This window comes from Homo sapiens, chromosome 8, assembly GCF_000001405.40.
Source record: "Homo sapiens chromosome 8, GRCh38.p14 Primary Assembly".
Lineage (NCBI taxonomy): Eukaryota > Metazoa > Chordata > Mammalia > Primates > Hominidae > Homo > Homo sapiens.
This window is the reverse complement of record NC_000008.11, coordinates 29350954-29363931: the sequence shown is the minus strand read 5'-3', so window position 1 is coordinate 29363931 and position 12978 is coordinate 29350954. Positions and strand designations below refer to the sequence as shown.

The 12978-nt window shown below is 45.3% G+C and overlaps 1 long non-coding RNA gene across 1 annotated transcript, besides 5 other annotated features; it reads right to left on the bottom strand.

Annotated features, from left to right (window-relative positions):
* Positions 1-4302: 4302 nt before the first annotated feature.
* Positions 4303-12958, bottom strand: LOC124901924 (uncharacterized). Its single transcript, XR_007060876.1, has 2 exons — positions 12398-12958; positions 4303-7511 (listed from the first exon to the last, which is right to left on the bottom strand). It is a non-coding gene; the product is annotated as an uncharacterized LOC124901924 (long non-coding RNA).
* Positions 5715-6216: an enhancer, noted in NCBI's record as "NANOG hESC enhancer chr8:29215233-29215734 (GRCh37/hg19 assembly coordinates)". NCBI's record gives its function as "activates a minimal SCP1, AML or CMV promoter by ChIP-STARR-seq in naive H9 embryonic stem cells {active_cell/tissue: H9 hESC(naive)}" and the evidence as "EXISTENCE:reporter gene assay evidence [ECO:0000049][PMID:30033119]".
* Positions 8253-8551: a silencer, noted in NCBI's record as "fragment chr8:29212898-29213196 (GRCh37/hg19 assembly coordinates)". NCBI's record gives its function as "represses an EF-1alpha promoter that drives an FKBP-Casp9 reporter gene in an ReSE screen in HepG2 liver carcinoma cells {active_cell/tissue: HepG2}" and the evidence as "EXISTENCE:reporter gene assay evidence [ECO:0000049][PMID:32094911]".
* Positions 12331-12440: an enhancer, noted in NCBI's record as "active region_27187". NCBI's record gives its function as "activates an Ori minimal core promoter by ATAC-STARR-seq in GM12878 lymphoblastoid cells {active_cell/tissue: GM12878}" and the evidence as "EXISTENCE:reporter gene assay evidence [ECO:0000049][PMID:35858748]".
* Positions 12481-12550: an enhancer, noted in NCBI's record as "active region_27186". NCBI's record gives its function as "activates an Ori minimal core promoter by ATAC-STARR-seq in GM12878 lymphoblastoid cells {active_cell/tissue: GM12878}" and the evidence as "EXISTENCE:reporter gene assay evidence [ECO:0000049][PMID:35858748]".
* Positions 12741-12880: a silencer, noted in NCBI's record as "silent region_19072". NCBI's record gives its function as "represses an Ori minimal core promoter by ATAC-STARR-seq in GM12878 lymphoblastoid cells {active_cell/tissue: GM12878}" and the evidence as "EXISTENCE:reporter gene assay evidence [ECO:0000049][PMID:35858748]".

The following is a 12978-nucleotide window of genomic DNA, read 5'->3' as shown; positions in this document are numbered from 1 at the left end:
TTCACAACGGCAGCCCTAGTAGACTAATATGAGTTCCCATTTACTGAGGGTTTTTTGTTGTCTAGTCCACAGTCTTGGACTTCCCAGCCTCCAGAACCGTGAGCCAAATAAATTTCTGTACATTGTAAATGACCAAGTCTCTGGTATTCTTTTACAGCAGCACAAAATGGACTAAGACATGTAGGTAGGAAACCCCTCATAAAATTCAGCATGTAGCATATGTGGCATATGTTTCTGTCAACTCTCTTTCCATTTTAATTCTCTTGGCAACAACTGCCCTTGGACTTCTCTCAAAACAGAACTTGACTTATAGGAGGAGTACAGCAGGGAGCGGGATAAACACTGGATGAGCCTTCCTGACTGTAGGCCTAAGCTGACCTTGAGGACATTGGCAGGGTGGGATACCAGGCACTTCTTCCCTTGGCCTACTTTGAGCAACTGCCTTTCTCATCCACAATAATCACAGTGAAATGCAACATGCTCCAGTCCTGGGGGTGCCCCCTGATCTTTCCTGTTCCTGCCTATCAATCACCACCCAGTGACTGCTGATAACCTCCTCTAGTGAGAAAGACTCACTGAAAAGTGAGCAACTCAGACTGGAGGCGGAAGGAAATTGGTCCCTAAATTTTGTGAGCATTAAATTTGAGTACATTCTGCGATGAATGAACAATAACATAAGTAACACTCACAGAAAGGGGGAAGGAGAAAACTCCTTTGAATTGCCAGGGGTGGAGAAGGAACTAGGAGGGCTTTGTTTTTTGTTTTGTTTTTTACAAAAATGAATCCAGGGATAGAGGGAGAGGTTGGAAATGGGTGTTTCAAGAAGAAAAAAAAAATTACACACACACATACATACACACTCTTCATCTTCTGCAATGTAAGGTCTTGGGGAACTTTATACACAGAGAAGGCCTTAGCCAGAACTGTCCAGTAGGGAATGTTTAAGCCCATCTCCAGCATTTTTCTTGATTCTTCAGTCAATTATTAGAAAGAAAGAAAGAAAGAAAGAAAGAAAGAAAGAAAGAAAGAAAGAAAGAAAGAAAGAAAGAAAGAAAAAGAAAGAAAGAGAAAAAATAAAGAGAAAAAAAAGGCACAGGAATAGGAACTCTCAAAAGTAAGGGGAAATCTGTATTTTTAGCATTCTGCAGTTTGGTATTCTTCAAACTTGAGAAATTCCAAGTGGAAATCCTGGTGGGTTTTTTGTTGTTGTTGTTTGTTTGTTGTTGTTGTTGTTGTTGTTGTTGTTGTTGTTGTTTTTGAGACGGAGTCTCACTCTGCCACCCAGGCTGGAGTGCAATGGCACCATCTCAGCTCATTGCAACCTCCGCCTCCTGGGTTCAAGCAATTCTCCTGCCTCAGCCTCCCAAGTAGCTGGGATTAATGCATGTGCCACCATGCCCAGCTCATTATTTTGTATTTTTAGTACAGACAGGGTTTCACCATATTGGCCAGGCTGGTCTCAAACTCCTGACCTCAGGTGATGGACCTGCCTCAGTCTCCCAAAATGCTGGGATTCCTGGCATGAGCCACCACACCCAACAGATCCTGGTCATTTTTATTTCTATTTCTGTGTTTTACACAGCCCAAACACTGTGAAGGCACTGCTAAAAACCTCTGTCTTTCACCTCAAACCAATGATAGAGAAGTTACATTATATCTTCAAACATCCTAGAAAAAAAAAATCTGTTCTAGAATTGCCTACGCTAACATGGGCACAAAATACCTAACAGCATGCTTTGTTTATTCCATCTTTATTCACATGTATAAAACAGAGGAAGGAAAAAAATCTTTGCCTGACCTAATAGTCTAGACGACAATATGCTCTAACCACAGTTCATTCCAAAAAATAAAAATATTGCTTCTGAAAGGGAAAAAAAATGTATGTGGTGCTTATGCCTTAGGCCAGGAAGTATATATCCTTTAGCTTAGGTTTGCTCCAAAGAGCCAGCTACATACATAAGCATGTTTCTGTGTGACTGACTTGTGTACCTCCATTGTGCGGAAGCAGCAAGTCGTGTTAGAAGTTCCTGCAAAGGGCCGGGTGCGGTGGCTCATGCCTGTAACCCCAGCACTCTGGGAGGCCTAAGCAGGTGGATCACCTGAGGTCAGGAGTTCGAGACCAGCCTGACCAACGTGGTGAAACCCTGCCTCTACTAAAAACACAAAATTAGCCTGCCATGGTGGCACGTGCCTGTAATCCCAACTACTCCAGAGGCTGAGGCAGGAGAATCGCTTGAACCCGGGAGGCGGAGGTTGCAGTGAGCCAAGACTACACCACTGTACTCCAGACTGGGCGACAGGAATGAAACTCTATCTTTAAAAAATACAATAAAATAAAGAAGTTCCTGCAAAGCATGCGAGAGGATGAAACCTGCGTCTCTGGGGCAGGACTGGAGTGCCTGAAGCTCTTGGACTGAGGATGGAGTAGAGGGAGCGTAAAGGGAGGTGGCTAGGGTGTATCAGTCAGGATGGGTATCTCCAGAGAGAGAGTCATGGTCCTGGGTACCCAGGCAGGAAACCTCAAAGTCATACAAAATCAATAAGAAATGGAAGCCAGCAACATTGATGCGTGGTAGAGAAGGTGGATTTGCAGGTATTTGAAAGAATGTAGGGAACACAAAGGGAACAGAGACACAGGCAGGGTGGGGAAGGTGGGGGATTGGTGCTTGGCATGTTCCCCGAGCACAAAGTCATAGTAATTAATCAGTTAACTGATCTCTGTTCCAAATATTTGGTGTACAGCTGTGGACTGAGGATTGCAGAATGTTTGTCAGTATCCAAGAACAGACCTTACAGTGCCTGCTGGGTAGATAATATGGGAAGGGGTTGTAAGGTGAATTGGCTGCAATATTTAGGAATACTTAATTTTGCTATAAAAAAATAAGAAAAACTAATGTTAGCCATAGAAATAAACAGAATATGTGAATATTGAACACTGATTTTAAAAAAGGATGAAACCGGTGGTCTCTCAAAAATTTAAGCAGAATTACCATAGGACCCAGCAATTCCACTTCTAGGTATATACTCTCAAAGAAATGAAAGCAGAGACTCAAACAGATACCTGAACATCCATGTTTGTAGCAGCATCACTCACAATAGCCAAAAGAAAGAAACCACTCAAATGTTCATCAACAAATGAGTGAATTAAAAAATATATGGTATACACAAATGATGGAATATTACTCAACCCTAAAATGGAATAAAATTTTGATACATGCTACAACATGGGTGAACTTGAAAACATTATGCCAAGTATTGAAATAAGCCAGACACAAAAGGACAAATCCTGTATGATTTTGCTTATATGAGGTATCCAGAATAGGCAAATTCATAGAGACAGAAAGTAGAATCGAGATTACTAGGGGCTAAGGGGAGGGGAGTGGGGAGTTAGTGTTTAATGCACACAGTTTTTAGTCTGGGGTGATGCAAAAGTTCTGAAAATGGACAGTGGTAATGGTTGCACAACAGTGTGAATGCGCTTAATGCCGCTGAATTATACTCAAACATCATCAACACAGTAAAGTTTATGTTCTGTGTGTTATATCACAATTCTTAAAAAAGAATAGAACAAATAAAAATGTTGCTTACGTTACAGGAAAGGGGTCCCAATCCAGACCCCAAGAGAGAGTTCTTGGATCTTGCACAAGAAAGAATTCAGGGCAAGTCCATAGAGCAAAGTGAAAGCAAATTTATTAAGAAAGTAAAGGAATACAAGCGTGGCTGATCCATAGGTAGAGCAGCCCCGAGGGCTGCTGGCTGCCCATTTTTATGGTTATTTCTTGATCATATGCTAAAAAAGGGGTGGATTATTCATGCCTCCCCTTTTTAGATCATAAAGGTTAACTTCCTGATGTTGCCATGGCATTTGTAAACTGTCATGGTGCTGGTGGGAATGTAGCAGTGAGGAAGACCAGAGGTCACTCTCTTGGCCATCTTGGTTTTGGTGGGTTTTAGCCAGCTTCTGTATTGCAACCTGTTTCATCAGCAAGATCTTTATGACCTGTATTTTATGCTGACCTTCTGTCTCATCCTGGGACTTAGGATACCTTAACCAACTGGGAATGCAGCCCCGTAGGTCTCAGCCTCATTTTACCCAGCTCCGAGTTAAGATGGAGTTGCTCTGGTTCACATGCCTCTGACACTTAAAGTCAGAAAAAAGATGAACAGGCCAAGTTACAACGTGTGTATTATGCCACCTCTATATGACAGGCACATTATTGCTGAATCAGCCATCATTGGTGAAACTACATTAATCCCATCTCTCCCCACATGAGCTTTGTCTAGAAACACAGAGAAAAGCAATGGCTGTTTAGCAAGCTCTTTATTGGCCAGGCATACTTGCCCCTTTATCTCTCTGGTAGAGCAAGATCATTTTGGCTTCAGGCAGTTTTCTCTGCAGAGCCTCCTTGTTCCAAAGTAACTACCCCATGAGCTTGGAAGGTCAATGTAGAAGAGAACACCGGTCACATGAACACTGAGTCACTGAGGATCGGGTCGTGTGGTCCTGCCACCTGCTTGCACCTTAAGCTAAGTGGGTGAACCTTTCTCACATCTTTCCCCTTGAAAGTACTGGATATTTTCAGCTGATTCAATAAAACTTGCGATATGAGTGACTTAAGTTGGTCTGAGAGCCTTTCTGTTCCACAACCTCTAGGCTGGCTTGCCCAGTAGCATAATTGGAGACTACCATTGTATCAAAGAAATTGCTCATACAATGTCAGAGAAAAGACAAGCACTGTGCAGGAAACAGTAAGAAATAGATGTGAAAAGAAGGAAGGGTGAGAGAAAACTAAAAGAGGAAAGGAGCACCTTTCTCTGCTTGGATAAATGAGGGTAGCATCGAGTTGAATCAAGGAGACAGAGAGGATAGGAGGTGGAGCAGTCCAGGTGGATGGAAAGCAACAGAGAGAATCCAGGAGCCTTTCCTGTTCTGTTGACCCACAGGCAAACACGTGGACTAACAGCTGGGCCCACTGAGCAGCCCAGCCTGATGGCACAAAGACCCACCTGTGTGTTTCCATGCACCTGGAGTTTTGCCAAATGCAACTCCATGGAGAAAACAATGTATAAATCAGAAATGTTGCCCTATTGACACCTCTCAGCTTAAAAAGAAAAAATTGTCTAAGAGAAAGGAATAAGGAATAATAATACATTTTTTGAAAATGTTCCCAATGATGAATCTAGGTGTTAATAACATTCCTGGCTGGGCGTGGTGGCTCTCGTCTGTAATCCCAGCACTTTGGGAGGCCGAGGCGGGCGGATCAGGAGGTCAGGAGATCGAGATCATCCTGGCTAACACTGTGAAAACCCGCCTCTACTAAAAATACAAAAAGTTAGCCGGGCGTGGTGGTGCGCACCTGTAGTCCCAGCTACTTGGAATGCTGAGGCAGGAGAATGGAGTGAACCCGGGAGGCGGAGCTTGCAGTGAATTGAGATAGAGCCACTGCACTCTAGCCTGGGCAACAAAGCAAGATTCCGTCTCAAAAAAAAAAATAGATAAAATAATAATAACATTCCCAGTGACAAGATGTGAAAAGCAATGGCCAGAAACGTACCCAAAGTTCCCCAGCTACTTAAACGGTGGCTCTGGCATCAAAACCCACATCTGTCTGGCTACAGAGCCTGTGTCCTTTTTCAGAGCAGCAAATTAAGCCCAGGTCTGCAGAAGATAAAACTCAGATTCAAGGCAGGGGCATCCAGACAGTCCTTGGAAAAGGGATCTTGGGCTTCTGGAAGAGAAGACAGACCTCTTCGCCTGGTTACTTGATGAAGAGTTTTAGGTGCAACAGAGAGGACACACAGCATTGTGAGTCTAGGGGAGGAGATAGAGAAATAGATTAGATTAAAAACGGAGTTGGCGGGGTGCTAATGAGTTAACCTCCAGTAAATGGGCTGAATAGCAGGATGTAATTACCCTCTGCTTAAAGGGGACTCTTGGTGTCTCCCTCAGTGGGTAAACCCTTGAGGACTGTTATGCTAATTCCAATGGAAAACGTAGAGAGAGACTATAATTCTTTTCTGCAAAAGAAAACAGCACATTTTGCTGTATTCTTTTTGTATTACTGATTCCGGAGAGCCCAAATAATTGTTTTAAAATTAGATTACATAAATGAAATAAGTCAGGCACAGAAAGATAAATACTGCATGTCCTCATTCATATGTGGGAGCTAAAAAAACGTTGAGCTCATGGAAGTAGAGAGTGGAGTTGTGGTTATTAGAGGCTGAGAATGTTATTAGATGAGGGAGAGGAAGATGGGGAAGGTTGCTTAAAGAATACAAAATTACAGCCAGATAGGATGAATAAGTTCTTGTGTTCTATAGCACCGTAGGGTGAATATAGTTAACAAGAATTTATTGTATATTTTGAAAGAGCTACGAGAGACGATTTTGAGTGTTCCCAAGACAAAGAAGTGATCAATATTTGAGGTGATGGATATGCTAATTACCCTGATTTGATCATTACACAATGTAGATACATGTATGAAAATATCAGTCTGTATTCCATAAATATGTACAATTATTATGTGTAAACTAAAAACAAAAGGAAAAGAAATTTAAACATGTAAAAACTGGACTCATAGAAGATTAGATTACACAGAGGAGAGACAAGCAGCTCCATGGTGCAGGATGACCAAGGCACCCGTGGGTGCTCGGGCAGGTGGGGCTGTGGCTCTGCAGGTGTCATCTCAGAATGGCCAATGGTTGAGAAGTGTGGGGTGAGACAGTCTTCTCCTTTTGTTTCATTCCAGGGCTGGTAATCTGAGCATCCCATCCAGTGGGGAAAGGCTGTTCATGCCTTGACTTCAGAAAACCATTATTTCAACTGAAGTGAGTTGATCAATCTTATAGAGTATCAAAGGCCTTTTGCTTTTAGCTAAGGTGGAAATTTCTTATTTAGAAATTGTTTGTTGTTGGCCTTTTCCTTTGGTCTACCAGAAAAATCAGAAGGAAGAACTTTAGGGTTTCTGAAGGACTCCAGGGTTTCTAAAGCCACTGATTAGCTGCAGGAGACCTACTCACCACCCAATCAAGGCTTAAGCTGAAAGCTCTGACACCTTTCTTTGCGCGGTCCAGCACCTGGTCAGCCATGATGTGCTTACAAGGAGAATTAACTGACCATTAGACAGGGCAGAGAAGACTGTCCAGGACCTCTGCAGAATTAATGTGGAGACATCAGTGGATGACGATGGCCTGGGGCTCTGGTAGCAAACAGGTGTCATGACAAAGGTCTTCTATCACTTTGTCTCATTTATTATTTTGTCAGTGAAGACATAAGTCCCAGATTTTCTCTGATAGACTTGCTTTCAGGTTGTCTTATTGTTTTCAATAAAAGAAGATTTAGTAAACATATAAATAAATGTGTTTTTTATGCTTCCATCTTGGTAAGAATTTTTATATAAGTAATTTCACAAGTCCAAAAGACATCTTTTCTGACCATGTACTCCAACATTGATTTGGAAAATACATTCATTGTTGAAGCCTTGGAAAGGTGATTTAGACATTTTGTTGTCCTGAAAAAAGTAAATATAAAATGTAAACAATAATTACATTGTTTTTCCTTTGTTTTACAGATGGTAAAATCAAAGTACAGAACAACTGACTTGCTTAAGATGGCAATGAAAGAGTCGGGCCCTTACTTAGGTCAGCTACCATCTAGGTCGGTTGCTCATCCATGGCACAGATTTTCTACAGAGCTTTTGCATCATCTTAGCTCCCTTGTAGTTTCACACCAATTGCTCATCTATTTTTAGCAGGCAAACCCACTGGGGAAGAGAGATGCTAACAAATGAAAGGAAAAGAATACAAGGCACAAGGGCAGAATGAATGTCAGAGGTGAGATAACAGTTTAAAAAAAAAAAAAACCTACAAGAGAACTCAAGGACATTTCAAGGATAACATTTAAGTAGATGAAATGCACTTTATTCATGATGGCCTTTTCCTCCATTTCCCTAATCTCACAACACGGCTCCATCCCTTTCTCTTCTGAATCTTCCTGGCATGCTGTTTGTTCTCTAATGACACTTTGTTAGATCCTGCTTTCTGGCAATGTACAGTGGCAATCACACCCTGACTAGACCAATGAGACTGTCAGCTTTTTGAAGGCACAGTGTTTTGGACAAATCTGTCCCCCTACTTCCCGCACCTCTTGCTGAGTCTAGCACGTTTGTTGAATGAATAAGAGAATCTGCACAGCTAGAGTGACCCCAAATAACCTAGTTTTGTTTTGTATTGTTTTGTTTGTTTGTCTTTTGAGATGGAGTCTCGCTGTCTCGCCCTGTCCAGGCAGGAGTGCAGTGGCCCAATCTTGACTCACTGCAACCTCTGCCTCTCCGGGTCAAGGGATTCTTTTGCCTCAGCCTCACGAGTAGCTGGGACTACAGGCACCCACCATCATGCCTGACTAATTTTTGTATTTTTAATGTTGGTCAGGCTGGTCTCCAACTCCTGACCTCAAGTGATCCGCCAGCCTCCCAAAGTGCTGGGGGATTACAGGCATGAGCCACCATCCATGCCCAGCCTCCGAGTTCATTTTTATCCCGTTTGGAGAAGTGTTTCTTTCCAAAATTTGTTTCTGAAATTTTGAAGACGTTTTATCAAAATGCTTGGGACGTTAGCACGTGACTAAACAAATAAATAAAAACTATGAGCTCTGCTGTCCATGAGTTTATATTCTAAAGCAGGGACAAGGAGGAGCTAGAGATCGTCCTTTATCTTATGGCATTATAGTGTGCTTGGCTCTTCAGAGGGCGAGATGGGAAACCTATGAAACTTGGACTCGGAGCTGAGAAGTCTTCTTCTGCTCAGAATCATACAGGGTCGGAAATAGACCAGACCTGAGAAACCATCCTGCCCAAACTCTTCATTTTGCAGGTGAAGAAAGTGAGGCCAAAGGAGACTGTCTTGCCCAAGGCCACCAAGCTAGATGGTGGCATAGCCTAGATTGAATAGTTTTAAAATAAAGCAGTAAATAAAGCAATGCATTAAAACCTTTCTGCAGAGACCCTGGGTTAGAAACTTAATCTTTTATTATTTTTTATTTGTATTTATTTATTTATTTTGAGATGGAGTTTTGCTCTTGTCGCCCAGGCTGGAGTGCAGTGAGGGGATCTCAGCTCACTGCAACCTCTACCTCCCGGGTTCAAGCGATTCTCCTGCCTCAGCCTCCAGTGTAGCTGGGATTATGGGTGCGCGCCCGTCATGCTGGCTAATTTTGTATTTTTAGAAGAGACAGGGTTTCACCATGTTGACCAGGCTGGTCTTAAACTCCTGACCTCAGGTGATCTGCCCACTTCGGTCTTCCAAAGTGCTGGGATTACTAGCGTGAGCCACCTCGCCTGGCCGATACATAGCCTTTTAAATCATTAATAAGTGCTAGAGTATCAAGCATAGAAAACAAAAAAGATCTGTAACAAAGTCAGGACTTAAAAAAAGAAATCCTCAGGCTATGTCTTTGAGAGTTTTTGGTTAGGTTCAGTGTGAACTTTGAAGACTTTCCTTCGCTTTCAGTCCTGACTTGATGGGCAGAGGTACGTAGGGAAGGACAGGCATTTCTCAATTCCATTTCTAAACGTTGCCTAAGAACACGCTGTGTAGACCACAGGCTTCTCTGCTTTCAGGAGCAGGAGAGGGTCTCCCAGTTCTTTTGAGCCTTCCCACTACCAGGGGGCAAGTTCCCTAATTAGTTGATCTAAGAAGCCTAACCAACAAGATCTGTGCAAAATGGATTATTCCTGTTCCAGTTCGACGTAATAGCAAGGCTGCCTCTTTGCTCAAGAAAGGAAAAGCCACAGGACTTTTCTTTCCATCACCACCTTAATTAATTCATTAATGATTTTTCAGGCAAGTTTTATTCAGGCACTTTGGGACAGAGCAGTGAGTCAGAGGTTGGCATCAAAACTAGAATAGAAGCTGTACTTCTCTCTGGGGATTCTACTCCGGGCTTTAGATTCCCCGATCATACAACTTCCTAATTGGAAAGAAATGTTCCTAAACAAGAGCAGGTGTTTTGCTGGAGCCTGACAGTGACTAATAAGGTCGGTCTAAGGACTGACTGATGAAAGAGAAGCTGGATTTACTTGTCACAGCGAATTTTTAAAAGTTCTTTCACCCCGAGGTTTACTGCTGAATATAAATAAAAGACCTCTCCTTGGGCAATCCCATCCCAATTCCTACAAATATGCCTTAGTTAATTAAATTAACTTTGAAATGACATTCCGTGTCTTGCTCCAAATTGCCTTTGTTTTCTCCAAGATCTGCTCATTGACAAGCTGTTTCACAAGGTTCCTGTTTAAAATGGTTATGTTTCGTCCACAGACTGCAGACGAATTGGAGACAGGTTTTATCTATAGCCGGCATGGAGTAGCCCTCGCGTTGTACTCATTTAACTGTGGACCAATGGTTCACAAACATACAATTAAAAAATATATATCTAGGGTGTTTACACAGTATCCCGATAAATACAATATGGTAACTTAAATCTCCTTTGCTGAAATTCACACAACTGAAGGCCAATTCCTGAGTTGGCAATGGGGTGTGGATTTTAAAAATTAGTCTTTTTTAAAAATCAGGCCTTCGCTTTCGCAATTCAAGTGGCTCTCGGCTTAAACACATTAAGTCCCAAGCTGTGACTCCCTTCCAGTGAACAGCCGCGTAGGCGCGGGCACGCACACGTGGACACACACACTCACACGCGCCCTCCCACACCCCTTTCCGTGTGAATCGCCTGCGGGATTTAGGGCTTCTCCACCAGCGATTACTGTCAGGTGCAGAAAGCAAGCCTCTTTGTTCTATGGGCATTTTCCTCCCCCTGGATTTGACTGTTATTTACTGGCCACGTGAGCGCCAGGCGCGGGTCCGGCGGGGAAGGCGACCCCAGAACAGGGTAGACAAAAGCTGGCCCAGAGCGCGACCCGTGCGCCCCAGGGACGTCTCCCCAGCTCCTGCGACACGCGTGAAATTGGCCCGGACCTGCCTCCTGAGAGGCTTTTCCCAGAAATGTCTTGTTAAAGCCTTTGTAAAGGAATCAGTGTTTACTTGCGCCGGGAGAGCTCCGGCCCTGGGTCCTGGCAGGCGGCGGATTTCTGAGCTGCTGGAGAGCAACCCGGGAAAGCAAAATCAGCCTTGGACTGTCGGGGCCCCTGGGGCTCCTTGCTCCTTATCGAAAGCGAGTTATTAGATAGACCCCCACAGTCCCATTCAGCAGAATGGGAAACTGGACTCAGACACCTTTTGCCCTCCCCACAGGGAGGCCACGCCGTGCGGCTTTGACCACTGATCTCCCACCCGGAGTGCCCGACGCCCAGGGTCCTGCCACCGGGCAGCCTCGGTCAGTCCACAGTTGTGGCTCCTTCCAGGGCCTGGACTAGGGTGAGCACAAGCCTTGAGCGCAACATTTAAGAAGGGCGCCGAAAAGTCAGTAATCAAAAGAAATATCTTGATGCAATGCCTCTTTAAAAGAAAAAAAAATGCAAAAAATCCATGATGAATAAAATACTAAATTTTAAAAAGAGAAAGGATCCGTGCAGTGCCATCGTAAGCCATTTTGGAGCCCGGAGCAAAAGGAAATATCACCTTGCCCAAGCGGTGCCCCTACAGCTCATCCGAGTAGGGCCCGGGGGTCGAGGCATTCGGGGCCCAGTGGGGGACGAGGCCAGTCGAAGGTCTCGGAAGTGGAGGCTCCGCCGAGCTCCGGTCGGGGAGTGCAGGGATGGCCCCCGGGACCGGAGGTGAGAGCTCGGGAAAGCCGCTCCGCCCGGAACAAAGGCATGGGGAGAGGGTGAGCTTGGGCGGGAGAGACCCGGCGGGTACCGGTGCCCTCGCTGCCTGGGTCGGGCTTCCACGCGCGCCCCGGAATGGAATACGCTACTCTGCAGCCTCCGAAACTGCGAGCGAGTCCTGTAACTCCCTTGCTCTGTGATTAATTCTCACTAACAAGACTTGGCAAGATGTCGGGCGAATGATTTTTGGCTTCTGCACGGTCCCCACCGCGTGCGTGCACAAACCCCCAGCCAAAAGCCGCCTCTGGGAAATTAAATGCAAAAGAGAAATGGGGATGGGGAGGGCTGCTACGTGACCAGGAAAAAGGGATGCCCAGAAACATGAATCGGACCCAGAGCTGCTGAAGTCCTTTCAAAAGGTCATTCTTTGCGGGTACATTTTCCAGGGTCCAGCTCCGCAACAAATGTGGACCCTGTCATTTCCTGAAAGGATAATTCACAACTATGCAAGATAGGGTGAAGACGTTTCCCAAACCCGAAAACCTTGTTTTTCCCCCGACCAGGGTTAAATAAACATCTTTTAGGAAGCGTGGACAGGAGCGCAGCCTGCTCTCCTCCCTCGGAACACCATTCCGGCAATTAATGCCTCCCTTTGGGTAGTAAAGCAACAAACCCCACACCTCACTCCGATCCTGGGCTTCGGGCGGGAGGACTTTCTCTTTCATCTTCCAAGCAGGGGGTTGCCCACGTTCTTGGGGAAGCTATAAAACTGATTTAATGGCTTTAGATGAAAATCGATCACGCTAATGCATACGCTAACGTCTCAGGAATCGCATATTCAGAAAGGACTGGCCGGGCCGAAAGCGCACGGGGAGTCTGGGGCTAGGAGGTGTCAGGCCCCGCTGGGTGGGCAGCAGCGCTCCGGTCCCCTCTCCACTTGGGTAACCGGGAAAAACCTACGGGGCTGTCACGCGGGGAAGCGCGAAGGTGCCAAGGGATGAAAGCTCAAACCCGAGCCCTGGCCTCCTCAGCCGGCTATTTCCTTTGGCGCCGCCCGCCTAGCGGCGGGGTGCAGCGGCGGCACAGGTGCCGGTGTCGGGCTGGAGGCGCGGCGCAGGCTGGGCCCGCGGGTAGACGGCGAAAGGCGCCGCGCGCTCCATTCACAAAGTCCGGGCGCTGCCCGCCGCTGGCGGCGGGTCGGAGGCCGCCTCCCTCTTCCTCTCGGCCTCGGTTTTATGAATGGGCCTGATGGCGAGCACCC